At 47.9% G+C, this 27,868-nt stretch overlaps 2 protein-coding genes and 1 pseudogene across 15 annotated transcripts, besides 1 other annotated feature; all 3 read right to left on the minus strand.

Moving 5' to 3' along the window:
- Positions 1–478: 478 nt before the first annotated feature.
- Positions 479–17,071, minus strand: CLEC4F (C-type lectin domain family 4 member F). 12 transcript variants are annotated; one of them, XM_017003519.1, is made up of 8 exons: positions 17,037–17,071; positions 15,064–15,238; positions 12,299–12,403; positions 11,191–11,727; positions 7,830–8,948; positions 4,283–4,434; positions 1,575–1,693; positions 479–1,218 (listed from the first exon to the last, which is right to left on the minus strand). In XM_017003519.1, the coding sequence occupies exons 3-8, from the start codon at positions 12,357–12,359 to the stop codon at positions 1,107–1,109; spliced, it is 2,100 nt and encodes a 699-aa protein (XP_016859008.1). In that variant the 5' UTR covers positions 12,360–12,403; positions 15,064–15,238; positions 17,037–17,071; the 3' UTR covers positions 479–1,106. The 12 variants fall into 12 exon arrangements, with proteins under 12 accessions (XP_016859008.1, XP_011530939.1, NP_001308237.1 ...); XM_011532637.2 differs by lacking the exon at positions 17,037–17,071 and having other exon boundaries at positions 15,064–15,607; NM_001321308.2 differs by lacking the exons at positions 15,064–15,238; positions 17,037–17,071 and having other exon boundaries at positions 479–978; positions 11,191–11,280; positions 11,611–11,727; positions 12,299–12,435.
- Positions 2,473–3,319, minus strand: MOB4P1 (MOB4 pseudogene 1; annotated as a pseudogene).
- On the minus strand, positions 15,966–27,652 carry CD207 (CD207 molecule). Of its 3 annotated transcripts, XM_011532875.3 has the most exons (7): positions 27,540–27,652; positions 27,327–27,443; positions 25,482–25,856; positions 24,736–24,887; positions 23,537–23,655; positions 23,023–23,036; positions 22,047–22,757 (listed from the first exon to the last, which is right to left on the minus strand). In XM_011532875.3, the coding sequence occupies exons 1-7, from the start codon at positions 27,610–27,612 to the stop codon at positions 22,645–22,647; spliced, it is 963 nt and encodes a 320-aa protein (XP_011531177.1). In that variant the 5' UTR covers positions 27,613–27,652; the 3' UTR covers positions 22,047–22,644. The 3 variants fall into 3 exon arrangements, with proteins under 3 accessions (XP_011531178.1, XP_011531177.1, NP_056532.4); XM_011532876.3 differs by lacking the exons at positions 22,047–22,757; positions 23,023–23,036 and adding an exon at positions 15,966–17,163; NM_015717.5 differs by having other exon boundaries at positions 22,047–23,036.
- Positions 22,349–23,548: an enhancer, noted in NCBI's record as "BRD4-independent group 4 enhancer chr2:71057644-71058843 (GRCh37/hg19 assembly coordinates)". NCBI's record gives its function as "activates an origin of replication core promoter dependent on BRD2, P300/CBP, MED14 and CDK7 cofactors, and independent of BRD4, by STARR-seq in HCT116 cells {active_cell/tissue: HCT116}" and the evidence as "EXISTENCE:reporter gene assay evidence [ECO:0000049][PMID:35650434]".

Raw genomic sequence — 27,868 nt, forward strand, 5'->3', positions numbered from 1 at the left:
GCTGGGCGTGGTGGCTCGTGCCTGTAATCCCAGCACTTCGGCAGGCTGAGGCAGGCAGATCACCTGAGGTCAGGAGTTTGAGAACAGCCTGGCCAACATGGTGAAACCTCATCTCTACTAAAAACACAACAATTAGCCAGGCATAGTGGCACGTCCCTGTAGTCCCAGCTACTCAGGAGGCTGAGGCAGGAAAATTGTTTGAACCCGGGAGACAGAGGTTGCAATGAGCCGAGATGGCACCACTGCACTCCAGCCTGGGCGACAGAGCTAGGACTGCTAGGACTTTGTACCCCTATGAAGTCCCTGTAGTTTGTGTTCAACCTCTGCTGTTTTCAACAAACTAGCAAAAAGTTACTAGCTATAAAGCCCTTAATAAAAGTGTGCTTGTTTTGAGACAGAAGGAACGCTGAGGGAAGGAGAACCAATCCAGGGAGGAGAGAGGGTAGTGGCCGCCACAAGGAAAAAGCCAGCACGAAGCTTTTGTTGATCCAGCGAGTATTTATTGAGGACCTGCTGTCTGACAGGCCTGTGCTGGGTGCTGAGGCTACAGGGGCACAGCAAGGCTCTTCCCTTGAGAAGCCACTGATGTCACTGGGTCACTCGAGGTAAGCATGTTTGAAAGGGCTGAATCAAAGAACAAGGCAGGAAGTCCACAAGGCCAACGGAAGGTCCCAGAGAACAAGCAGAGCTCAGAGGCTCCGAAGGCATCGAGGAGGAGGGTCAGTATTGGCAAGCAGGAGCAGCCCCTCAGCTCTGGCCTGCCCTCAGGCCACACCCTGGCCCATGGGCTTCTTGCACACCCACTGATAGGGGGTGTCACAGGTCATGTCATTCCACTTCTGCTGAATTTGGACACAGTCTTCAGTCTGCCCATTCTTGTGCCGCCAGTTGTCAGACTGATTCTTTTCCCAAAACCCGAAGACAACAGGGCTTTATACTGTTAGATGAAGGCAGCATCCCTTCCTGGTGCTGTGGCTCCTAGGGAGCTGACATGGGATGAGTCTAGGGAGCTGACTTGAGATGGGTCCTTCATCCCCTAGTGGCCCTAGGATGAGGACAGGGCTGGGAGAAGGAGTACCCTGAGGGTGTCTGTGCTCAGGTTGCTCTTAGTTACTGAGGATCCAGGGACAGGGAGGGGTGTCTATGAAGCTGCAAGCTCCCATCCCAGAATTCACAATAATATACTTTCTGAGTGGGCAGGATCCCTTGGAACCAGGCCTGAGTAGGGCAGGGGGAAAAAAACAGAAAGACCCACTCACTGGCTGCATGCCAGCCTCAGGACCTGTCCTTTCCTAATGACCCTCTGTGGAGGAGTCCAGGTGAGAGCGATGACCACACCTGTGTGTCCAAACGCACACACATCACACACATACCACACATACACCTCGCACACCACATGCATTACACATGCCACATACATGGCACACACACCACACATACACCACATACACACCACACACGTCACACACACATATACACACAACACTACCACTTACTGGGAAGGGACACACAGTGTGTAGCTAGGTCCACCAAAGACAGTGCCTGGGACAGCGCCAGATGGTGGCTAGACTCACGCTTTGTTCTGGGCGGCGTTGAATGGTGTCCCATCTGTCCAGCGCCAGGAGCCCTCTGTGCCCCTGTCAGTGAGACCGATCCAGTAGTACACTTTACTTGTGAACTCTACCAGAAATGCCTGCAGAGAAAAGGCAGTGTCAGTTTGCCCCTGTGTGTGGGGAGCCAGTTTTCCAGGCCACCTGGAGAACCTGCTTATAGATATACACATAATTATATATGCATATCAAAAACTGTAAACAGAATTTTAAAACACTTTTATCTCATTTGGGGAAAGTTAAGAGGTAAGACAAAACTGTGTACTATAGAATTTTTTAGGATATCTAAACTCAGGGTAAAACCAAAGGAAAACATTTCTACTTCTTTAGTAAATGGCTTGTGTGAAACCTCAAGCTCTCACTCTTTTTTTTTTTTTTAATAGATGGGTTTGCTTGATGAGGATTGTGATCTAATGATTGTTTAGCAGCAATTTTACCAAACTGTAAATTCTTTCATTAACAGGCATTATAAACAGATAATACTAATCTTATTTAAAAATCATGAGTGCCACACTGATGAATATACAGCTTATGAATAACTTAAAAAGTATTTCCCATTTTAGGCCAGGCACAGTGGCTCATGCCTGTAATCCCAGCACTTTGGGAGGCCAAGGCAGGCGGATCACCTGAGGTCGGGAGTTCGAGACCAGCTTGGCCAGCATGGTGAAACCCCGTCTCTACTAAAAATACAAAAATTAGCTGGGCATGGTGGCAGGTGCCTGTAATCCCAGCTACTTGGGAAGCTGAGGCAGGAGAATCCCTTGAACCCGGGAGGCGGAGGTTGCAGTGAGCCAAGATCGCACCATTGCACTCCAGCCTGGGCAATAGAGCGAAACTCTGTCGCAAAAAAAAAAAAAAAAAAAAAAAGTATTTCCCATTTTAAAAGGCAAACACAGGATACAAAAACCTATACTAAACAAAGAAGCTATAATATGGATACACGATTGATGTGTCTAAAATGATATATACAGTACGTAATTAATGTTAATTATGTGATCAGTACATTTTCCCATTTGATTCCCTTCATGCTTCACTTTCCCCAGAAATTGAATTCTGTACTCCCTCTTCTAAAATTGGTACAATCAGGTTATCCTTGGACATCAAATTATATTTCATCACAAATTTAATAAACCAATGGCACAAAAATGTTTCATTTTCATATTCATCAAATATCTGCCAATGATGAAAATAAACATGTGAAAATATTCTGTAAATTCTACGGCATACTGATTTTGGTGTCACTACAGATGATTCCTTTATGCTAACCCTGCTGGGAAAATATTTATTGCCATTCAGAAGACATGCAGCACCAACAAGTGTGTGTCTAGTATAGTCTATAGCACGACACTCTTTTGGAGTTTTATGAGCTATGCAAAGAAAAATCCATTGTTCAGCTGCTGTCATTTGAGTACAAGTATCTGGATGGCATTCACGCTGAAGTTTGACAGCAAGTCCAATTAGCTCAAGGCACAATTGTCTTAAATGTCATACTTCCATACACCTTCATCTTGGCCTTTAGGTGCTTCAAGAATTTTGTCAATATTGGAGCAATCTGCTCTTATGTTCTGTTGAATAGACTGTTGAGCAGCTAGTGTACTGTCCATTTTATCAAAGGATTCATCAGGCCAATTATAGATATCCTGTGCCTTGGTGCCCTGCCTGTTCTGCCTCAGCACTGCCATCCCCTCTGCCATGACCATAGTGCCAGCACCTCCCATAGCTTATTAAGAAGATGTGTTTTACGAAGTTGCATGTTCTTTCTCAGGCCAGTAACAGTGGTCTCAGGCGAGCCAACAGGGGGGTAGGCAGTTCTGCAAGTCAAATTGGACCACAAACATTGTGGTTCTTTGTTAGTAATCCTGGCAAGTTCTGATAAGGACCACGACAGTGAGCCACCTGGGACGGTATTGCGTTTGGTGGTCCTCGGACCCATAGTTGTGTGCCTGGTCTTCCCAAGAAGCCTGGGTCTCCTATTCATGGGCCCTCTACAGCAGCTGGATTAACTGACATTAAAATCAAGACAGGCTGGATGCAGTGGCTCACTCCCAGCACTTTGGGAGGCCCACTTCGGTGAATAACTTGAGCCCATAAGTTTGAGACCAGCCTTGGCAACATGGCGAAACCCCATTTCTACAAAAAAAATACTCCCCAAAATTAGCCAGACATGGTGTCGTGCATCTGTAGTCACAGCTACTTGGGGAGCTGACCTACTCAGTGGGCTGAGGTGGGAGGATCGCTTGAGCAAGGAGGTCAAGGTTGCAGTCAGCCATGATCAGGCTACTGCACTCCAGCCTGGATGACAGAACGAGACACTGTCTCCAAAAAAAAGATGACTGGAAACAAGCCTGAGAGAAAAACAAATGCAAGAGAAGGGAAGTGTGCTCCTAGCACTTAAGGGCATCACCTGATGCCACCTCCCCTTGGCCTTCCTCCCTGCTGATGTCTCTTGACCTCTGGTGTCTCCCTCATTCATGGAAGACATGGAGGTTTGCTGTCAGGGATTCTACCTCCAGTGCATATGCTCATCAGAACTCACTCAATATTTGCTCCCTGCCTGGCAGAGGAGACATGGAGGTCTCCGTCATACCCACTGAGAGCAGGAAGGCCAAAACACCAAAGTCCCTTATTCCACACCAATTCCACCAACAACACCCCATGCTCGCAGCTCTGACCTGCTCCTCCTTGGAGGCCACAGATGCCAGATGGGCTCCCTGGGACACGCAGAACTGCTCAGCCTCATGCCAAGACTTCTTGACACTAGAAAAATAATATAAGCTTCCACCATTGAACTTCCAGCCTTGCAGGACCATCTGGAGAAGCTGACCTGGAGCAAAGATTGGGGAGAAAAGAGAACCAGGAGCTGCTGGTAGGAGTCCCAGAAGGAACTTTTCTGACCTCTCTAGGGCCTGCCCACTGAGGTTCACAAGCCCATGAAATTCTTGATGTGCAGTGCTCCAGGAGAAAGGCCTGGGGGGCTGCACTGCCATCTCACTACCCAGCACTCCAGGAAGCAGCCCTCAAGACGCCTGGCTTGGGCACTCCTGGGAGGCTCAGGCAGCTCTCTCTTTCCAGATACCTGCTTCCTGGCTATCCTGCCCTCTCTCCCAACTCATTGCTATCACCTGACAGTCCTCTCCACCCCAACTCCTGCCATCTTCCCTGGGGATTTTACAGGTATCCCATAGCCTTACTCATTACCTTGTCTTCATCTCCATCCACTTGCACTGCCACACCCATGGCCATCCTGGGACCTGGTCATCACCTGGTCTGCCTGGCCTTCCATTTTTCAAACTCTTATAGCTCATCCTGTGAGCACAAGCCCCAATTCTGTCAGCTCTTTCTTCCCTCCCTGCCACAACAGCCTGCTCTTTGGCGTCATCTATGCCACAGCTGTTTGAAATGGTGCCGCACAAGCTCAATTAATCACCAAATTGTTCTTTTGTTCAACGTGCATTGTGCAACGTTCCTTAACTTCTTCCAGCTAGCCACTGCCATACTGTACAAAGATCAATCAGACATGATTGATGCCCTTAAGGAACTTAGAGCCTAATAAATGAGACAGATGGAAAAAAGGTGTTGAAGATGCATTGACTAAAAAACACATGCACAGTAGAATAGTCACGGAAGAAGGTATGGTCTGTTTCATCTGAGCAGGAGGTGGGGCTCAGGAAGGACACCCTGGATGAGATGTTACTGGAGCTGAGTCTCTCTTTCTTTCTTTTTCTTTCTTTCTTTCTTTTCTTTCTTTCTTTCTTTCTTTCTTTTTTTCTTTCTTTCTTTTTTTCTTTCTTTCTCTTTCTTTTTCTTTCTCTCTCTTTCTTTCTCTTTCTTTCTTTCTTTCTTTCTTTCTTTCTTTCTTTCTTTCTTTCGCTCTCTCTCTTTTTCTTCCTTCCTTTCTTTCTTCCTTTCTTTCTTTTTTTGAGACAGAGTTTTGCTATGGATGCCCAGGCTGGAGTGCAATGGTGCGATCTTGGCTCACTGCAACCTCTACCTCCCGGGTTCAAGCGATTCTCCTGCCTACCCTCCTGAGTAGCTGGGATTACAGGTGCCCGCCACCATGCCCGGATATTTTTTTTGTATTTTTAGTAGAGATGGGGTTTTGCCATGTTGGCCAAGCTGCTCTCAAACTCCTGATCTCAGGTGATCTGCCTGCCTTGGCCTCCCAAAGTGCTGGGATTACAGGCGTAAGCCACTGTGCCCCGTCTGGAGCTGAGTCTTAAGGGACTGAGGAAGAGTTTGCCAGGTGTTCAATGTTAAGGAGAGCACCCCAGGCAGGGAAAAGGATCAGCACAAAGGCATAAAGGTCAGGAACAGCCGGGCACAGCCTGATCTATTCAAGCTACTTGGTATTCTTGGGACATAAAGGATGGGTGAGTGATGAATTTGGACAGGTTCACCAGCACTAAATGGTACATCCCATGTGAAACAGTTTGGATTTTTTTTTCCCTATGAGCAATGGGAAGCACTGCAAGGTTTTGAGAAGGATGGTAATATGTCCAGATTTGCACTGGAAAAACGTCAACCTGGTGGAAGCTGAACCAGAAGAAGGTACTCCTAATGAGGACAGAAACACCAATGATAACACAATGGCGAAAGTCCCAGTAAGAGATGGGTATAAATCAGGGGTTCGAAAAGTGTGGTCCCAGACCATCAGCATCACCTGACAACGTGGTAGAAATGCAAATTTTCAGGACCACCATAGCCCTACTGAATCCAAAATTATGTTTTAACAATCTGCTTCAGCAAGCCCTCTGGGGGTTCTGATGCCCAGAACTAGTCATCTAAACCAACCATTGGCAAACTCTAGCCTGTCAGCAGTGTCTTTTTAATAAAATTTATTTTATTATGAGCGTAGCCATGCTCATTAGTTTACTGTCTTTTTCTTTTGCTTTATAATTACGAACAGAGTTGAGTAGTTGTAACAGAGATCGTACAGCCCCAAAGCCTAAGATATCTAGTTCTTTGTCCTTTAAGAAAAAAAATTAAGCTAATAGTTCTCAGCCCAGATGCCAGTAGATCCACCTAGGCATTTAAAAAAGAATACTGATGCCAGACACCCTCACCAAAAAAAAAAAAAAATCACAGTTCTGGAGGTGGGTCCCCAGGCATCAGTATTTTCAAAGCTCCTTGGGCGATTCCAGTGTGCCCCCAAAGTGGAGAAACACTGGGCCCAGCTAAAGCAGCAGTGAGAGCTGGGAGGAATAAGGACATTGGGGCACTAGGAGATGTGTGAAGAAGTGGGGCCTCTGACCCCAGACCAGGAACCGGGCAAAGCAGTAAAGTGGAACGTCACTGCTGCCCACCAAGCCCTCATTTGTTAGCCCCCATTTCTTCAGTGGCTGCCCCAAACACTCCCTTCTGTCTCTCAGCTGCCCTCTTGTCCACAGGCCAGTCAAAGAGAACTGCCTGAAGTTTCCAGAATCTCATGATTTTGTGTCTCCATGCCTGCAAACCCTATTTGCTTGGCAAACACCTACTCATCCTTCAGGATGAAGTTCAAGAGCCATCTTCTCACAAAGCATCTTTTGATCTTTTCCCCACAGATCTCTTCCCTCCCCCTAGAAGATTCCTTTTCCCTTCTTTTTGTTCTGCCCCCAACCCCAGTTCTCAGTACCTGCTTCTAACCTATCAGCCTTATACCTGTCTGTATGTCTTTCATGCAAGTCTGTACTACTAGCCTGTAAGCTTCTCAAGGGTACCTATCACACCTTATTCACCTTTTTACCCAGCACACCACTGGGCCTCAATAAAGCATCGGGTGAGGGCATGAATGCTAGGTACTTTGTTAAAGGCCTTACATGTGTGAACTCATTGGATCCTCACTGTGATGCAAATATTATTGTCTCCCCCTTGCAGATGAGAAAAGTGTAGCTCAGAGAAGGTAAGTAACAGGCTCAAGGTCATACCATTTGGGGTATCAGGAAGTCAGAAATAAGGCTGTGTGGCCCACTAGCCCATGCCGTCCTTATCACACACGTGCACCATTTACAGTTGGTTTCCCGTGTTCATTTGGTCACCGTGACCAGGTTATAAGCAACTTGAGAGCAGGAACTTCCCACCTCACACCATCTCTACAACTGCCCAGTTTCCTTGGGCCCATTTCCCTGGATTTGGTCAAGGAGATGCATGTTGCAGTAAAAAAGAGGCTGATGAGATGGAAGACTCTACCCTCTCAAGAGACTGTGCCCTCCCCAAACGCGACTCCCCTCTCCCACTTACTTTGGGTTCTTTGTAGCTGTTCCTGTGAAGTAATGACCACATGGAGGGTCTTCAGGCGACTCTGCTCCTGCTGGATTTCCATGGTTAGAGCTTTGGTGTTCTCTAGATCCCCTCTTAACCTCTGGATCTCGGCACTGGCCTTCTGCAGATTGCTGTCTAACATCTGGGTCTGGGAAGTTAAGGCTGAAGCATTCTTCATTCCTTGTTTTAGGGTCTGTATCTCTCTGCTGGCATTTTTCATATGACCATTTAAGACCTGAATCTGGGCATTTAAGGTATTCACATTTTCCATCTCTGACTTGAATACCTGAATCTGAGTATCTGTCTGGTCCAGACGGCCATTTGCTTTTTGGGTCTGGGCTGTGACCATTTTCAAATCCCTTTTTAACACGTGAATTTCATCACCAGCTCTTTCCAAATGACCTCTTAAGAACTGGATCTCAGCACTAGTGTTGTCAAAACTGCTTTTTATAAAGGCCTGGGTCTGGGAGTTTAAAGCATTTGTGTTCTGCAAATTTTCCTTTAGTCCCTGGATCTCAGCATTGGCTCCTTCCAAACTATTTCTTAAAACCTGGTTCTGGGTCCTCAAGTCATTGACACTATCTAGATGGCCTCTCAAAACATAGATCTCAGCATTAGCGTTCTTTAAACTGCTATTGGCTAACTGAGCCTGGGTATTTGCCGTTTCCAAACTGGCATTCAACATCTGAATTTCAGAGTTTGCATTTTCTAAGCCTCTGCTTAGCACGTGGAGCTCAATGCTGGTGTTTTCTAAACTGCTTTTTAAGAAATTCAGCGTCTGGAAAGTTAAAGCATCTGCCTTTTCAAGGTCTTCCTTGAGCCTCTGGATCTCAGCATTGGTTCCCTCCAGGGAACTCCTTAACATCTGTGTCTGCAAACTCAATGTAGTGGCATCCTTTAGAACTCCTTTTACCATCTGGATGTCAGCATTGGTGTTTCCCAGATGATCACCGAGCACCTGGAGCTGCGAATTGACATTGTCCACTCTGCACTTCAACATCTGGATTTCTACTACCCAGGCACTGGAATTCTCCATGTGGCCTTTAAATGTCTGGATAAGCTCTCGCATTTCTGCCTCCCTGCCAAAGTGGTGATGATCTGGAGGGAGGAAGTGAAGAAGGCAGCCAAAGAGGCCCATTATGTAGGGTAGCATTTTATGGGCCACCCAGAGTGTTTCTAACATTTCCAAGGGAAATGGGTACTGCACAGCCCTCAGTGCTCCCCCAAGCACCCTCCTGGTCACACAGCCACCCAGACCCTGGGGACGGTCCACCTGAGAATGTGGGCCAAGAAACAAAGATCTAATTCACTGTTACACACAAATGAAGGGGTCAGAAGGATTGAAATGCTTGCCTGCTGTAAGCCAGCTGCCACCAGGAGTCATGCTGGTAAGGCTTGGATTATTTTGTCGTTATAATTGCTCAACTTGAAAGTAACTGATTTTATCATTTAGAGCTGTTGAAGTTTAATTTTACTGGAATTTCACCACAGATGGGTCATTATGGGAAAGAAAATAGGTATGAATAAAGCCTGTGGTTAGTCCTACATTATATTTGTACACCAAGCATAGAGCCTCTTGATTCACCATTGTTACTTGATAAAAACCACCACAAACATAAGTTTTATGATGGCAAATTCCATGGAGAAGAAAACACAAAGGAAAGAAACAGAAACAAAACAAAATAGGTGTGCTGGGAGGAAGTACCCTGTTCAATCAACAGGGCTATGATAGAGGCATGCCATGCCCTCCAGGTAACTAACACTGGACCTCAGCTGAGATGGCCTTTTAAAGAGCCAGCACCCCCAGTGTTACATAGGGCAAGGGTCCCTACAGAACAGTTTGAGGATACAGGAAACCTGAGTAAAAGGCCTTGCGCTGGGGTCGTTGAAGGAGACCCCACAGCCCCTTTAATCTGCAAGGTCTTTCCCACCAACCTCACATGCATCTACCTCTGGTCCTGCTAGCATCCTTTGTTCACCTCATGAACTAGGACCTAATCTCACACATCCATGATCCCCTTCTGATTCCAGTCTCCCCTCAGGAATAGGGAGAAAAACCCAAGATGGCAGGGACCCTTTCTGGAGCATCCATGTACTATTTCTCATGCACTGCCTATGTAGATGTGTGAGACCTCAGTTACTGTGCTAAGGTAAGAGAGGGGACCTTTCAAGGTACTGGGAGTTCAGTCAAAGATTCTGCTTTGTAAAGATAGACAAACAAATCAATGCGACAGAATGGAGAATACGGAAGTAGACCCCCACACATATGGACAATCGAATTTCAACAAAGGTGCAAAGGCAATTCACGGAGAAAGATAACTTTTTCAACAAATGGTGCTGGAACAATCAATTTCACACCATTATACAATAATTAACTCAAATGAGGCAGAGACCTAAATGTAAAACTAAAAACCGGGCTGGGCATGGTGGCTCACGCCTGTAATCCCAGCACTTTGGGAGGCTGAGGTGGGCAGATCACGAGGTCAGGGGATCGAGACCATCCTGGCTAACACGGTGAAACTCCGTCTCTACTAAAAATACAAAAAATTAGCCAGGCGTGGTGGCGGGCGCCTGTAGTCCTAGCTACTCCAGAGGCTGAGGCAGGAGAATGGCATGAACCTGGGAGGCAGAGCTTGCAGTGAGCCGAGATCACGCCACTGCACTCCAGCCTGGGTGACAGAGCGAGACTCCGTCAAAAAACAAAAACAAAAACTAAAACTAAAAACTGTACAATTTCCAGAAACAAAGGAGAACATCTTTGTAGCCTTGGATTAGGCAGATTTCTCACATACGAGATCATGAGAATAATCCATAACAGAAATAAAATGATAAATTAGACTATCAAAATTAAAATCTTGTTAGGAGAATGACAAGACAAGTCACAGACTGAGAGAAAAATATTTGCAAATCACATGACTAGCAAAGAACAAAGAGTACATACTCTATGATCTCTTATCTATAAAACTCTAGAAAAAGCAAACTAATCTATAGTTACAGCAAGTAGATCTGTGGCTGCCCAGGGATGAGGAGAGGAAGGGAGAGGAAGGAATTACAAAGAGCCACAAGGAAACTTTGGGGTGAGGAGGATGACTATGTGATGATGATTGTGGTGATGGTTTCAGGGGCACACACATATGTCAAAACTTAACAGATTGTATGCTTTAAATATATACACCATTAGACCTCAATAAAACTGTGTTTTTAAAAAATTATCTCTTTCTGTGAGGATGGTGGAGCCCATTCAGTGGTCAGAGGGTACCAGGAGAGAAGCTCATCCTAGGGTCTGAGCATCTGAAGGCCCCAGTTCCCTCTGCACCCCACCCCCACTGTGGCTACTCACTGTTGGGTTCAAAAGGTAAATGCCCAGTAATGTTGTCTCCCAGAATTACGGCTTGCACAGGCTTCGGAACAGGTCTTGTCTGCTGTTGAACTGAGACATTCCATTTTTCCAGGTCAGCAAATCCCCAGCCCTGAGCCTGGGAGGATACGCTGTCCCACACAGAGGTAGAGTTCCAGAACCGGGGAGATAGCAGCAAAGACCCTCCCAGGGTTTCCCTCATGAACCTCAGTTCTTGGGAGGCTCCCCCTTGGACAGTGGCCTTTATCTGTTCCCAGGGAAGCTGTGGCTTGGGCCTGGAGCTGGAGGTGGAATGATCTTTCTGGGAGCAGAGAGGCCCAGAGAGTGTGCATCTGGGGCCCCTGGGGACTTTGTGCTGAAAGGAGAGAAAGTTAGTGAGATTTGGGTCACCTGGGGGCTTACCCACTACAAAGAGAGTCACAAGAGAGAAGACCAAGGTCACAGCCATAAATGCCGGGGTAGCCTGAACGAGCCTCGGTATCTTGGGGGCTGCAGGAGCCATTGCCACAGAGTCCACCTCTGCAGGGGAGAAGGCAGTGTCCAAGGTGAGAGGGTGCTGTGCAAGGTAAGAGGGTGCTGTGCAGGCTGAGACACAGCCTCTCTGATTCTGTTTCCTGGGTTGTCTAATGGGGATGATAACTCCTGCCATGCTTATCATGCAGGTGGTTATGGAGAAGGAAGACAAAACACTTTGGGCTGTTCACCAGAGCTAGATGTGGATATGGTAGCAACACAGAGCTGAGGAGCTCTGAGACCGAGACCACCGATCTCCAAATCTCAAGGAGGCTTTGGTGGTGCACAGGGCACAGAACCTGGCACAGAGCACAGAGCAACAAAAGTGTAGTTTGAATGAAAGAAGAAAGGAAGGGAGGGAGGCCTCACAGGACCAGCTCAGTGTGCAGAGCCGGGATTCCAAGCCAGGACCATCTGAATTCAAAGTTCATCCCCTTTCTCTTGCCAGGTCTGCATCCCCAAGGACAAGGGTCTGGGGAGAGCAATAAGACAGCAATAAGCTGCCTTATGGCAGAGGGCCAAAGGACAGGCAGGCTACTCCCTCACTGGGCAAGAGCTGGGGCCCCAGTTTTCTCACCTTGGGGGTGCAGGGAGACACACTGGTTATCTGTGCAGAAGCGGACTGCCTCACCGTCCATCTCTGCTTCCTTGATCCTCCAGCACTGCTCCCAGCCACTGGCTCCTGGAAGGGCCGTCCCGTGGACCAATGGCAGTGGAAGCAAAGCTGAGACACCCACACTTATATGCTCCTGACCACCCTCCCAGCTCTTCCTCCCTCCCTGCCTGACTCTGCAGAAACCCGCCCCAGTGGGCCCCTCCCCTAGAGGCTCCCAGATACCCATCTGCCCTATTTTCTTCCTCTTCCCATTAGCACCTTCCCGTCAGTTCTCAGCCCCATCATCCCAGCCTCTGCCGCATCCAGCATAACCCCAAACACACCTCTTCTTCTCTGGGGGCTGGGACTGGCACCTAGGAAGGGGGTCTCAGCTTTGCACAGAAAACATCCTTATGACTATGGCTGACCTTTAATTCTAGCCTCAGAACCTCTTAAGTAAAAGGAGTCAGGTAAAAGAGGGGCCAGGTCAGTGCGGCCGATATTTGCAGGTCAAAGGAGGAAGCGGGGTGACCAGCCACTTGGGGACTCACAACTGAATTATAGTATACAGGAGGATGTGCGGAGGTTATATAAAAATACTACATGATTTTGTACAAGGGACTTGAGCATCTGTGGACTTTGGTACCCATGGGAGTCCTGAAACAAATCCCCTGCAGATACCAAGGGACAACTCTGTAAAAAATATATCTGGTCTTCATCTCAGTTCCTGACACAGAACTCCTAAAACGCTTAGAGTTTCCTGGGTGACAGGAGTGTTTTTTGTTATTCATAATAAGCCCCTTAGGACTACACTTGGGTTTATGCTAATGAGGTGACACAGGGTGGACCCTTAGATAATTTCAGGCTGGAGGCTGGTCCCAGAAAGACCAAACATGGGATTAGACTTTGGAAGACTGGGACTTTCAGCCACCCACTCCCATTCCCTACTCCCAGACCTCCAGGTATGGGAGATGGCCTGGGGTCTGGGCTATAACGACTCTTAAAAAATGAGATTCAAGGAGCTTAGGGATTGGTGATCCACATGCCAGGAGGGTGTCATGCCCTGACTCCACAGAGACAGAGTCTCCTGCACTTGGGACCCCACTGGGCCTTGCCCTGTGTACCTCTTCATCAGGCTGTTTTTGTCCTTTACAATAAAAGAATAGGAAGTACAGTGTTTTTCTGAGTTCTGTGAATTGTTCTAGTGAATTATGAAAACTGAGAGGTTGTTGCAGAAACCCCCTAATTTTTTGTTTGAGACAGGGTCTCCCTCTGTCACTCAGGCTGGAGTGCAGTGGTACGATCATAAGTCAATGCAGCCTTGAACTCCTGGACACAAGTGATCCTCAGTTCTCAGCCCCAACATCCCAGCCTCTGTCACATCCAGCATAACCCCAGCATAACTGGGACTACAGGTGTGTGCCAACATACCTGGCTAATTTTTTATTTTTATTTTTTTGTAGAGATGGGATCTCTTTTTATACCCCAGGCTGGTCTGGAACTCCTGGCTTCAAGTGATCCTCCCACCTCAGCCTCCCAAAGTGCTGGGACTACAGGCATGAGCCACCTTGCCTAGCCAGAACCCCCAAATTTGTAGTTGACCAGGCAGAAGTGGGGTCACTACCTCACTTGTAGCTAGCATCTGAAGGGGGGCAGTCTTGTGGGACTGAGGCCTTACCCTGTGAGATCTGTGCTAACTCTGGAAGTTAGTGTTAGAATCTGTTTGAATTGTTGGATGCCCAGCGGGTGTCAGAGAATCGGCTGGTGTCAGGAAAAAGCACACATTTGGTGTCAGAAGTGGTGTCAGAAAATACCAAGCAGGCCCCAACTTTAGCTGATTGGATCCATGCCTCCTGAGGTGACCAGGTTCTCAAGACTAACTCCAAAGAATCTGATGGAGCAGGCTGGGGCCAATGTGTGGCTTTCAATGAGCCCTATCCCTTCCAGGAGGAACAGATACTGCTTCAGGGGTTCCTGCTGCTGGGTGGGCCTAGCATTAGAAGAGAAGGCATGAGGCATCCCAGTGGACAGTGCCATGGAGCTGTGCAAACGTGATGTCCCTGTCCCTGCCACAGGGGTTACCAGCTGAACAGAACCAATATTCCCATGGCTGGTCAAGGAACCCCTCTAAAAGCCAGTGCTGGGGTTACCAGCAGATTCCTGTTCTTTGGTTCCTTCTTGTCTCCATTACTTCAAACGGTCACAATCTTTTTGAAATAAATCACATTTTCTTTCACTTTGGAAAGTCTAATTACATATTACACCATCATAGCAACTCTTAAACAAACTCACAACCTTGCAAATGGCTTGTTCCATCCATGTTGTGTTGTTTCTTTGCTACTTTCACCCTCTGTTCCTATGTCCCATTCTCATGTCTTTTGCACAGATCCTGGGGTCAGCCTCTTATAGGTCCCCAGCTGCCAACTAACAACACTGCAGACCAACCACAAAGGTGGAGAAGCCACACGGAACGTGCCTCCTCTGAGGCCGGGCCAGGAGAACAGCTTTGGCCCAGGAGGAGCCTGTGCCATGCGTGGCTGATGTCAACCCGGCAAGCAAGTCGCCCCGTGGGTAGGGGATCTGCAGACAGGAAGGGAGCGGTTGCCCACACCCAGTTCATGATGGTGGGGGTGTGTGTGTTTGTGTGTGTGTGTGTGTGTGTTGAACTGTGCAGTGTTAGGGGCCCAATGTGTAGAGTGCAGAGCCACCATTTGCTGCCTTTTACCTCCTGTTTGTTGAAAACTGACCTTAGAGAGGAGGGCACAGCAGGAATGAAGGGTGAAGGCACCTATTTCTGGACTATCAACAGCGCTGCCTGAGATCCCAGTGGTGTCTGCCAGACTCCTTCACCGCCACATAGAATGGGATGGAAGCTGCTGGAGGTGCCTCCCTAGAGGCCCATCAGACACCCAGGGCTGGTGGCTGAAAAGAAAGGGCTTGTCTTGGTTTCTGTTTCCCCATACACAGGAAGGGCCCAGGCTGGACCTACTCAGGACCTATTTCCTCCTGAGGCCTGAGAGCTGAGGGAACCTCGAAGGCAGAACTCTACGGATCCCTTGCCCAACTGGAAGGTCAGAGTCTGGGCCAGGAGAGGGGCATAGTTCTTCCCTGGCCTCCCCACCCACCCTCCGGGCCCTAGCTCTTCTATTTCCCACAGGAACACCATCTACCAGCAGGGCAGAAAAACCAGGGGGTTGCTATGTCTTCACTGAGAGGCTTTCTGTTCTCTGGCCAGACAAAAACAAATGGGCATTAATACAAGAACTGGCCAGGCACGGTGGCTCATGCCTGCAATACCAGCACTTTGTGAGGCCGAGGCAGGTGGATCACTTGAGGCCAAGAGTTCAAGACCAGTCTGGCCAACATGATGAAACCCTTGTCTCTATTAAAAATACAAAAACTAACTGGGCATGGTGGCAGGTGACTGTAATCCCAGCTACTCGGGAGGCTGAGACAGGAGAATCATTTGAACCTGGGAGGCGGAGGTGGCAGTGAGCCGAGATTGTGCCACTGCACTCCAGCCTGGGTGACAGAGCAAGACTCCAAAAAAAAAAAAAGAAAGAAAGAAAGAAAGAAAGAGTCTACTTGGTGGGACTAAAGCCAAACCAGAGGGAGCCAGAGCCAGGAGAGGGAGAGAGGCGGATTCTTCTTTATGTTTTTTAATCCAGGACATTTTATTTAATAGTAGGGACAGCTTCTTGACATGATGTGAGCACTTGTATTCAGCAGTACAAAGTGTCCTGATTTTACACCCTACAAAATACAGCAACAACAATTCAACACATTTACAGGCCTGAATGCAAACCACCTGGCTTTTATTCCGTTCGTCTCCTAACTGTTCTCCCTGCCTCTCCTCTTACCCCCTCTCAAGTCCTGTCACCATGGTGCAAGCATAATGATCTTTTCAAAAAAAATTAGATGTACACACAAATATTACTTAGCTCTCTCAGCTGGGAGAGGCAATGATGTTCAAATAGCAACAGCCACACAGCCCCCAGGTTTTGATTTCTAACACCATTCTCCAAAAAAAGGAAACCAGGGCTCATTAGAGAAATGGCTGACTCTAGAACTGGGGCAGGAAATACTCAAGATGAGCCTGGAGCATCTTGTAGTACCAGAAAGTAAGGAGATGCTTAGTTACCAAAAAAAAAAAAAAAAAAAAAAAACTGAGGGAAGTATGTCAAAATGACACAGGAACCAATGAAGGAGCTCCCAATGGCCAAAGCCAGAGCAATTTGAGCAAAAACAAAACAAAAAAACAAATAAAATAGTATTGGATTATAACCCAAAGTGTAAGAGAAATATCTGTGAGTCCATACTGACATAAATGAATGTCTGAGTAAGTAAACAAATAGATAAGTCTCTAGGGCAGAAAATGTCCAAATATTTTATGTAAATATCCCATTCTGAGAAAAGTAGAGTGTAACTTCCTACTCTTTCAGTGTGAACTGCATATAGTGACTTCCTTCCAAAAAGTTCAGTACAGGAAAAGGGAGAAAAGAGTAATTCTGGAGTCAATAAACTTGGCAAACACTACCCCAGCCTGGAGATCAAGGTCAACGCCAACAGTAATGAATTCTATTGATGGTATGTACCCTTCATAGGATGTGATGAGAATGGCCCTTTATCTCCATGGTCTTCCTCCTGAAACTCAGTACCCCAATGTAATCATGAGAAAAACACCAGACAAATTCCATTTAAGGGACAATCTACAAAGTACCTGACCAGTGGGCTCCTCAAAACTGTCAAAGTCTTCAAAAACAAGGAAAGACTGAGAAAATGTCACAGCCAAGAGGATCCCAAGGAGACATGATGGCTAAATGTAACGTGGTATTCTGGATGGGATCCTAGGAGAGAAAAAGGATGTTAGGGGAAAACCAACGAAATCTGAATAAAGTATGGACTTCAGTTAAATATTGGCTCATTAATTGTGACAAATGTACCATACTAATATAAGATGTTAACAATCGGGGAAATGGGAAAGGGTGGGTATATAGAAACTCTCTGTATTATCTTCACAATTTTTCTGTAAAGCTGAAACTATTCTATAATATAAAGTTTTTAAAAAAAATTTTTGAGACAGGGTCTCACTCTATCACCCAGGCTGGAGTACAGTGGCGTGATTACAGCTCACTGCAGCCTTGACCTCCCAGGTTCAAGCAATTCTCCCACCTCAGACTCTTGATTTGCTGGGACTACAGGCACACGCCACCACACACGGCTAAGTTTTGTATTTTTTTTTTAGAGACAGGGTCTCCCTATGTTGCCCAGGCTGGCCTCAAACTCTTGTGATCAAGTGATTCTCCTTGAGTTCTGTGCTCTGTGAACACAGGCATGAGCCACTGAGCCCAGCCTAAAAAGGTATTTAAAAGATATTAGGGATGGCTGGGTATGGCAACTCACACCTGTAATCTAAGCACTTTGGGAAGCTGAGGCAGGAGGATCACCTGAGCTCAGGAGTTTGAAGCCAGCCTGGGCAACATAGCAAGACCTCATCTCTACTAAAATTAAAAAAAAATTAGCTGGGCATGGTGGTGCACACCTGAGGTTCCAGGTACTCAGGAGGCTAAGGCAGGAGGATTGGTTAAACCCAGGAGTTCAAGGTTGCAGTGAGCTGTGATTGTGCCACTGTACTCCAACCTGAGTGGCAAAGGGAGGCCCTGTCTCAAAAAAATCAAAATTAAAAAAAGACATAAGTAGTAATTATGGAATCTCAGAAGACCAGAGTCAAGCTTTAGAGTCTATGCTGGCAGGAGGAATGCTCCAATAACGGCAGCACTAAATCTAGTCTGAGCTCTGAAAAAACACCAGGACAAATCAAAGGTCTCACATGGTTGAATCTGACCGGTGGTCCCTGGGTCACATGACTGCACTTTAAAAATAAATAAATAATTAAATTAAATTAAATTAAATTAAAACAGGGTCTTGCTCTGTAGCCCAGGCTAGAATGCAGTGGTGTGATCACAGCTCACTGCAGCCTCAATCTCTTGAGCCCAAGCAATCCTCCCACCTCAGCCTCCCAAGAGCTAGGATTACAAGTCCGCACTACCACACCCAGCTAATTTTTTTTGTATTTTTTGTGGAGACGGGGTCCCACTGGGTTGACCAAGCAGATCTTCAACTCCTGGCCTCAAGTGATCCTCCTGCCTTGGCTCCCAAAGGGCCTCCCAAAGCATCTAGCCTCATGCCTGCACTTTTCTGCAAGGAAGGCTGTAAGTGCTAGTTCTGCTTCTAACTTTAAAAGGTGAACTCAAAATACAGGAAGATACCTAAACCAAGAAGCTGTTCAGGATAAAGGAAGAACCACAAGAGTGTGACAAATGTTTTCCAGTGACATAATTCTATTGCATGTCTGTAGATCTTGTTATTCCTGGAAGCATTTAAGCTTTCAAATGTAACAAATCATTTGTCACGCTTCTTCAACACTAAGTAAAAAACAGATGTCACTCATCTGCCTAAAACACTTCAATGTTTCCTCCTTGTCCTTCACATAAAATCCAAAACCCCTCCTCTGGCTTTGAAGGCCCTCCAACAGCTGCCTGTCCCCTGCTTCACCTCACACCACACTCCAGCTAGACTGGAGTTCTCTTGGTGCCTCAGGCCTGTCACACTCCTTCTCTGCATTTTCTGTTTTCTCTCTCTTTCCTCGTCTGTGTCCCCATCCCACTCTGCCTAAATTCTGCTCATCTCTCAAGGCTCAGCTTATGTGCCTCTTCCTCAGGAAGCCTTACGAAATCCTTTCGCTTTAGGCTCCCACAGAACAATAAAAGTTTCCTTTTTGAAAACACACTGAGTTTATCATAAATTGGGTAGCCTGTGTTTTCTCCCCCAAAAACAGAGATTCATTCTGAGACCTGAAAAAAAAAAGAAAGTTGCCTTGGGACAGATAGGAGGGGAGGTTCTTGGAGGTCTGGGATGGGAACAGAGAGGCAGAGAGAAAGGAGGGCCTGAAATCTGTGAGGGAGGCAACGCATTGCCCTGCTGGGGGCTACCTGGAGCCCTGGCCAGGTGGGGTCACCAAGGGAGCCAATGGCAGCCCCCATGCCCAGGGCCCAGCCCCAACCAGGGCAACAATGCCAGGAATAATGCCAATAATCCCAGAAGCCAGGGTGCTTTGTAAGAAAAAGGGGAAGTGCTAGGCAACTACACACGTGTGTGCGCGCACACACACACACACCCCACCCAAATAATGGCTTATCTTCCAAAGCACTGGGAAAATTAAAGCAAAGAAAGCATAGCTCATACAATATGAGAAAAAGAGGAGAGAGAGAAAGAGAAAGCGAGAGAGAATGACAAAGAGAAAATGAAGTGATTCAATAGATAGATAGATCAATAAAGCATAAAAACAGAAAAATAAAATATAGTACATGTTCACGAGCATTAGGACTAGTTGGTCAGTGGGGGTGATTCAAGTATTTTTTTCTCTTCTTTTATATTCAAACACAAAAGGATAAATTTTTCAAGAGTATTTTATTGCAACATTGAAAGAGGGCATGTCAAGCATTGTTAGCCTGCCAAATCAGAAAAAAAAAGAAAGAAAACAACTAATGTAATACAATAAATACCCAAGTTGACTGAGAAAAAGTTCTCACCTGTCCCTGGCTCCCAACTTTTCACCTGACAATGGAAAAATCCCCAGAATTTCACAAGAAATACTGTGGGGTCCATGATACGAGGAGCTGCCCAGGTATTGATAACACCCCAAGACCTGCTAGAGACAGGACTAGAGCACTATCAATGGTGGGACTTCCTGGGCGAGGCCACACTGCCAGCAGAAGGGCAGGTGCCCATGTAGCGACCTCCCTGGAGAAGCAAGGCATGCATACAGTGGGGGAGGGAGCCAAAGTCACAAGACAAAGCAAAGCGACAGGTGTCCCAGCTTCCTCAAGGGAGGAAGCCAAGGCAATGCTGCACTTGTTGGGTTCAGGCTGGGGCACAGACTCCAGATAAAAACACATCCTCACTGACTCAGGCTCTTTCAGTTTCAAGAAAAAGCAATGGTTGGGGTCAGGAGCACAGCCTCGTAAGGTCCCCATGCACAGAAACCAGGAGGATCAGAAGGGCTGGGAGGATCTGAGGCAGCCCTGGGAACGGGAGCAGCCGGAGCCCTTCAGGCTGCCCTCCGGGACCTCCATTGCGACTCCTCTGAGCCGTTCTCTTTTCTCTGCCAACTATAATCCTCTGCAGTCACTTCTTTTTTTTTGAAACAAAGTCTTGCCCTGTTGCCCAGGCTGGAGTGCAGTGGTGGGATCTCAGCTCACTGCAACCTCTGCCTCCCAGATTCAAGCAATTCTCCTGCCTCAGTCTCCCAAGTAGTTGGAATTACAGGTGCCCACCACCATGCCCGGCTAATTTTTGTATTTTTAGTAGAGATGGGGTTTCACCATGTTGGCCAGGCTGTCTCGAACTCCTGACCTCAGGTGACCCACCCACTTCAGCCTCCCAAAGTGCTGGGATTATAGGCATGAGCCACCATGCCAGGCCTGTATTCATGTCTTTCCCCTGCCTCATAGCTTCTGCTCATTGCTAGTTTCTTCCAATGCCACGTGACGGCCCCTCCAGCCTTTCTCTTAACTCAGTGCCTTCCAGCTCAACTTCCTTTTGTTAACAGCCTCATCCTCTTGCTATTTCCTGGTTCAAATTCTTTCCCAGAGAAATGGTCTGATTTTCCCAGCTCATCTCTTTGCCAAAACCAACCAGAGATCCCCGACCAGCCTTGTTCTTGTCACCTCCCATTTCCTCCATTGGTGAGGGAGGGATCCCCTGCTCTAAATAGGACAAGATGGCCAAAACAAGACATTTGACACTGTGCAGGTGAGACTGGCAGCAGTTTACTAGTCACAAATACAGTCTACTGGGGAAAGATATCATAAGCCACACAGGGCCACATGGGGTCACCCTCAGGAGCAGAGTGAACCAGCCAGGGCTGTGGGAGGCAGGCCTTGTAGTAATAAAAGGATGAGATGCCCCGGATTCCTGTAGGAGGATGTGATTGGCTTGTTTGAATAGTTTCTCAGGCTGGCAGAGAAGTGAAACCCATTAAGTAGAAAACTGGGTGGCATGCAGCTGGTCCAGATGATAGGAAATTAGCCAGGTGGGGACCGAGGGCAAGGATATATCTGGTGAGAGGCAGGGAACTCAGGGTTAGGTCTTTGGGGCCCTGTGAGGCATAAAATGTCACAGCAGCACGTGGTATTTCAGGTCTTACAATACAAGCCTGTGCCCTCAGCTGTGACCCATTTGCACCCAGAACAACACACTGCTGGTTACAGTTATTTAAGGAAGCATCTTTTCCTGAGGACCTTAATGAAGACCTGTGCTCACTCCACCCTCCTCTCCTCTCTGTGGTGGCTGCTGCCTGGATTCCAGCTTCAGCCACTGGACTTGGGATTTGGAACTGATGCCTGTGGAACTGGGTCTCTGTGAAGAGTGGGGAACCTGCTGAGACTTGTTCTTGGGAATTGAGCTATAGACTAGAAGATTGTGCAGTAAACAAGAAGAAAGATCACCAAGATCGTGACATTGGAGACCTTGCTCTACTTTAATAAAAACTAGAGATAAGTACTGGTCACATTTTGTGGCATTTCCAGGACTGGAACTTCCCCAGTCCTTGTTATTTTTGACTCCCCAGATGTTTCCTGAGGATACCCTAGAACTTCATGTCCACCAGAGGAGACTGCCTTTCCCACATATTCACCTGGACAACCAGAAATGAAAAAGTGCACTTGGAGTGAGTCCTTGACCCAGGCAGCATTTTATTCTGAGGAAGCTGGAAGGTGAATTCATGAAGGCACTGAAGGCTGCTTCCCATGCACAAGACACAGGAAGATAGGAAATGCAGAAGGAGGAGGAGGTGCCGGAGAGGTGAGGACAGGGGCTGGATGGACGCTGGGTGGAAGGCAGGGCTCGGCACTCCAGTGTACTAAGGGAGTGGAAGGAGAAGGGAGGCTGGGTGCCAGCCGAGCTCTGAAGGAGATACAAGTCCGTGTCAGCCACTGACTTGAACCAGAGAAGAACGGGTTCAGGCTTTAGATGATGTGGATGAAGAAACCACTGGGGACATACCATGAGCAGGATTTCCAAGAACAGAGCTATTTGCACTGCAAACACAGCCAGCTGCTAGCTGCCAGCACAGCTAAGCAGAGACATGGAAATTCTAGGGGGTTTGGCCAAGAAAAGCCCTGGATGACAATATCAGGAGAATTGCTTGGTTGCTCTGGAGTAACTTTGATGTGATGAAGCTGAGGTTTCTCTGAAAGAGTGGAAAACCCCAGGGTGTTATGCCGGATTACGGGTCTTGATCCTCCTTAGCAGGGCAATTGGAACTTCTAAATCCTCTCTACCCACCCCTCCCACTTTAACCTGAATTCTCCTTTCCATTCCAGCTGCCTCCAAGACGTCAGAGAATTTCCAGCCAAGACAGACGGACTCCAGAATGCCACTGTGGGACAATTTTGAAGCAAGAAAAATTAACGTGCAAAGTCATCCTGGAGTCTGGGGAAGAAAGAGGCATTTCCTCATGTTTAACAAGCGTTGGAGCTCAAAGAGTGAGCTTGGGAGCCTGTCCTGTCACGGTTCTGATGGGACATAGGGTCGCTTACAAATGAAAAGAAACGTTTTGTCACATGGGGCATCATTCCAGGCCTGAAGTGAGGGAGCCTTTATATTGCCACAGTGTTCATTGTTCCCAGCATTGTTGGGCTCACCTGGAATCCAGAACCTACCAAGAGCGGGGAAAAAGATGGATTTACAAAGTGGAAAATCAAAAAGAACTTATTTCCAGTGAAGAAATGAGTTAACTCAACCCAAGCTTTTGTCCTAGGGAATGGCATAGCAAATGTCTGCACCCAAGCCTCAGAGGAAGGGGACTGGTGAGACTTCGACCTCTAAGCTTTCACATGCCCCAAGTCCAGGCCAAACCAACCCACCACTTTCAAGTCCCTACACAAACCCACACTGTGAAGACCTAGACTCATGACAAGATCCCTGAAGCTGGCCAGGTAGAAGGCCTTGTTGCCAAACCCCAGAGGGCGTGGAGGGCTCAGGTCCACAGCCAGTTGGTGACAGGGTTGTGCTCGATCTTGGTTGCAATGTTCCTGTCACTCTAAGACAGGGAAGAATCAGAAACCCTGTCTCATGGGGAACATCGCCCCCACTCCCTTCATGCCCTGGCCATGGCCGGGGAAAGTCAGGCTGGCACGGAGGGCTCCAGGGGCTTACCTCACACTTTGGACCTTGTTGAATGGCGTGTCATCCACCCAGGACCAGTCCCCTTCCATCCCTGCTTTAGTCAGGCCAATCCAGTAGATGAGTCCCCCCGCTGTTTTATACAGAAACTCCTGTAGGAAAGACAGGATAAGCAGAGGTGCGGCCACACTTGGAGCTTGATCATCTGTCTCTGGGTGTTCTTCACCTGCGCTCAGTGACAGCCCTGACCCACAGATGCGCTGCACAAACTGGCCTCTCAAGCTTCTTCCTGCCCTTGCCCAGAGCCCAGATTTCATCTTCCAGATTATGATGTGTCCCTGCTCTGCAGCTAACAAGCTCAGGACTCAAGCCTTTCTGCCACTCAGGAAGCAGGTGCTGAAGCACAGGAAGGCCTCAGCTGAACTCCAGAGCACGGACCGCAAGAGAATGGTTCATATGATAATACCTGAATTAAATGAGCCCTGAATCCACATACGGCACTGTGCTGAGTCGTCCATATGCATTCTCTCCTTTCCTCTGAGGCAGGTGCCATCACCATGCATGTTTCATCAAGTGAGGGCCAGTGAAGTTTGCCCAGTGAAGTTGGGTATTCCACCCAAGCTGCTAGGACTAGTTAGATGGCAAGGTTCAGGCTCTAGAACTACGCCAGAGCCCAGGCTCTGACCTGCTCTGCTATCCCACCTCCCAGATGAAAAGGGCCTGCCCAATTTCTGCCTCACCAGGCAGGAGACTTCTTGAGTCATGTGGAATCATTAAGGCTGTTCACAAATATTTCTTTTTTTCTGGGCACATGGAAAGTAGATCCTCTCTGCCCTGTTCCAGGAGTACTGGAATCCAGGATCCTCCCAATCCAGGAGTACTGCATAACTTACTTAACTTAATTAACATAACTTAAGCTAGTGAAATGTAAGCAAAAATGAGGTATGTTAAATCTGGGCAGAAGCTTTGCACAATATGTCAAGTTCCCCTTTCCTGCCCCAGCAATTGTGGAGACATATTAAGATGAAGACTCCTTGGGCCTGGGTCCTTGAGTAGCCACAGTGAGCACAGCCCCCTTGCCGGCCCTTATTCGACATGCTACTGAGAACCAATCCTTCTTCATTAGGTCATCAATATTTGGGGATTTTTGTTCACGCAGTATAATCTTGCCCATCCTCCCTGGCCCAGTGCTCATACGCCCCCTTCACAGAGCCCATAGGCACAGCACTCACCTGCTCACTCTCTGAGGTCACCGAGGTCAGGTGTGAATTCCTGGACACACAGAACTGCTCGGCACTATACCAGGTCTTTGGAATGAGAGAAAAGTAATAGAAGTTCCCCTTGAAGTACTTCCAGCCTTGAGAAACCACCTGTAGAATATCATCTAGAGAACAAGAGGTAAAAGTGAACGCTGGTATTCTTGATTTCTTGGGATGCTGGCTTGGTGGGGGCACTTGAATGAGGTCTCAGAGACAGCAGCAAATGGAGCTGTGCGCTGGTGTCCTTGGGTCCTTGTATAGGAGATTAGGGACACTCTTTCAAATCCTGAAAGTCAGACAGAGACTAATAGAGTCTCTGGGACTGGAGAGGTTATAATGCAAGAGGTTGGACAAAGAGTGTCTTCCCCATGATGAGGAAGCAACCCTCCATCGGCCATGACAAGTGGCTGAGCCCCTGGACTCTAGAAAGGAACTTGATGGGAAATGACTAGGTGTGGGCCAGGGTGGACATCCCCTAATGCTTTTACATTCTGCACTTTTGTGTGGGAGCTCTAGCTGGACCCTGGTCTCTTTTCTCCTAACAGCCCCTAAGTCCTCCCCAACCTCAAGCCCTCTCTCCTTAACTTCCTAGCCCATGGCTGCCCCTCTTTTGCCCCCACTCTCCTCCCCAACCCACCAGCCCAATGGCCTCAGGTCTGGGACAGGTAAGATCCCATGGGCCACTGGTCAGCTTCAATGTAATTTTCTGAGTCACTTACTTTGTCGTTTGAGCAACTTGCTCATATTCTCCAAGCTGCCCTGGAGTGCCCGGATCTTTGTATTTAAAGCACTGGCTTTCTCCAAATCACTTTTTAACTCTGGGATTTGGGCATTTAAGGTACTGACTTCTTCCCAACTTCTTGTTAAGATCTGGATCTGTGCGTTGGCCTTCTCCACACTGGTTTTTAACTTCAGGAACTGAGAACGCACATAACCCAGGCTCTCATTCACCATCTGGATCTGAACGCCAGCTGCCTCCATGCCGTCACTATTCTTTTTAATTTCAGAATCCAGGGTGCTGATGTTGTCCACACGACCTTTCAGCAACTGGACATTGGTCTTTACATCTGATATGGTGCCCATAAACCGGGGATCTGGGATTGAGAAAGTCAGGAGGTCAGCTGAGGGGAGTCCCAGGGACAGGAGTGGGGGTGTTGTCAGGTTGATCAAAGGAAGGGAAGGAATAGGCTGAAGCTTCCCAAAGAACCAAGACAGTCCAATGGGCCACCCCAACCCTCCAATCATTCATTAACGTACAACAAACGTGCAATGGGCACCTACCATGTGCCAGGAACACAGGTGGATACAGATAATGGGGAGATTGATAAAACACAGGCTCTCTGTGAAAAGATTTCACAGGCAAGCAGAAGCAGGAGTTAGAAACCATTCCTGAATTTTCTGAGTGTTCAGGGAACATTTGATAAAGGGTGCCCTCCATGAGCCCCACCACTGTCCCCAGAACTTGATTCCCCCTAGACCCCACCCCTTGGTTGCCATCCCTCTGTTTTCAGAAACCCCTGCAGTGGCCATCTGCTAGGACAGCACCACTCCCCCACATCTGTCCATGGGCCCCTCTGTGACCATGGGAAGAACCAGCCACTAATCTGGAAGTGGCTTCTCCAGAGAACATGGAAGAGGAGATTACAAAACTGTTTCTCCCCTTCCCTTGCCCCACCCACTTTCACATTCTGCTCAGGTCCCAGGCCTGGGTACCAGAGAGAGGATCAAAGATAAACCAAGAGGCTCAAAGGCGAGCCCTGAGGAAAATGCGATGTTAGAGGCCAGGGGTCTAGGATGGGGCAAGGGGGACTCTGCTCAGAGCCTACAAGTCTAAGCCCAAATATGTCCCGAGGCCACAGAGGGAGAAAAAAAAACCCAACAGCTTCTTGGGTCCCTTTGCTCTGCTTCCTGGAGCCCTGGCAGGAGGAAGAAGGCTCTGCCAGCAGCAAAGGCCATGAAGCCTGACAGAGCCAGAAAAGGAAGAAAGATAAACCATGCAACATCAAATGAGCAGGAAGCCTCCCTAGATGTGATCTTCACAGGGACAGGAGAATGAAGACAGCACCAACGAGTCCTGGGGAGAGGGGACTGAGTCATGGAGATCTGTTGGCTCGTTGGCCAGGCTCTCCATCTGGTGAGCTGGGGCCAATGATACATGAGGCTCGGTCCTTCACAGGGTCAGGAGACATTGCACTGTCAAGGACTGTCCACAAGGCTCTAGATCCAAGGAGCAGAGCTCAGATTGGTGGGGGGTGGACGGGGAGAAAATAGCACAGGATGTAAAACTAGATCAATGTTTCCTGAGGACAAAAGAATGTATCCTTGAGCACCAATGTGCAAATGCTAATCCCAATAATCTCCCAGAAATTGGGAGGGAAAGAGCATCAGCTCACCGTACTGGGGGCAGCACAGCCTGTTACTGCACATGGAAAGAGGAGGAAGGAGACAAATGAAAAAGCCACAGGCAGGAGAAACCCGGAGAGCAGGGAAGTGGTCTCGATCTGAAGGGAGCCGGCTGGCCACAGAGAGGGGCTAAGCCCAGACGATGAAACATGAGGACTTACAAAGGACGGCCTGCAGCAGGACGGAGGCGACCAGGACCAGCGTCAGGCAGATTAATGCAGCACGGACTGTGGGTGTTTTCCCCGGGACCAGAGATGGACCGGACTTGGGAGGAGGCTCTGTTGGAAGAAGAAGAAAATGTGTGTTGAAGGAGCAGCAAAGGGCAGGTTTGCACACAGAACACGGAGCAGGTTCTCAGCAGCGATGTGGCTTGCCTCGGGGCCAGAGGGAGATGTTCTGTTTGTCCACAGTGAAGTGCGCATCAGGGGCCTCCTTCTCCACAGTCATCCTGAGTGCTCACCCTTATCCTGGGAGCACAGGTGCTTCTGGCTGCCTGTCTCTCCAAGGGCTCTTATCTAGAGGAAACAGGAAGTCAGTCCCACAGCAGGTCACCATATCATCCCAACTTCCCTATTCCTGACTAGATACCTTGTCTGGCTTACTCCCATCCTCAGAAGTCTGAGCTTTCAGGAAGAGGCCATTTGTTGTCTTCTCTGGGGGTCTGTTACATGGATACATTAACCATCTTGTCCCAAACCTATCC

The sequence above is a fragment of the Homo sapiens genome, chromosome 2 (assembly GCF_000001405.40).
Source record: "Homo sapiens chromosome 2, GRCh38.p14 Primary Assembly".
Taxonomy (NCBI): Eukaryota; Metazoa; Chordata; class Mammalia; order Primates; family Hominidae; genus Homo; species Homo sapiens.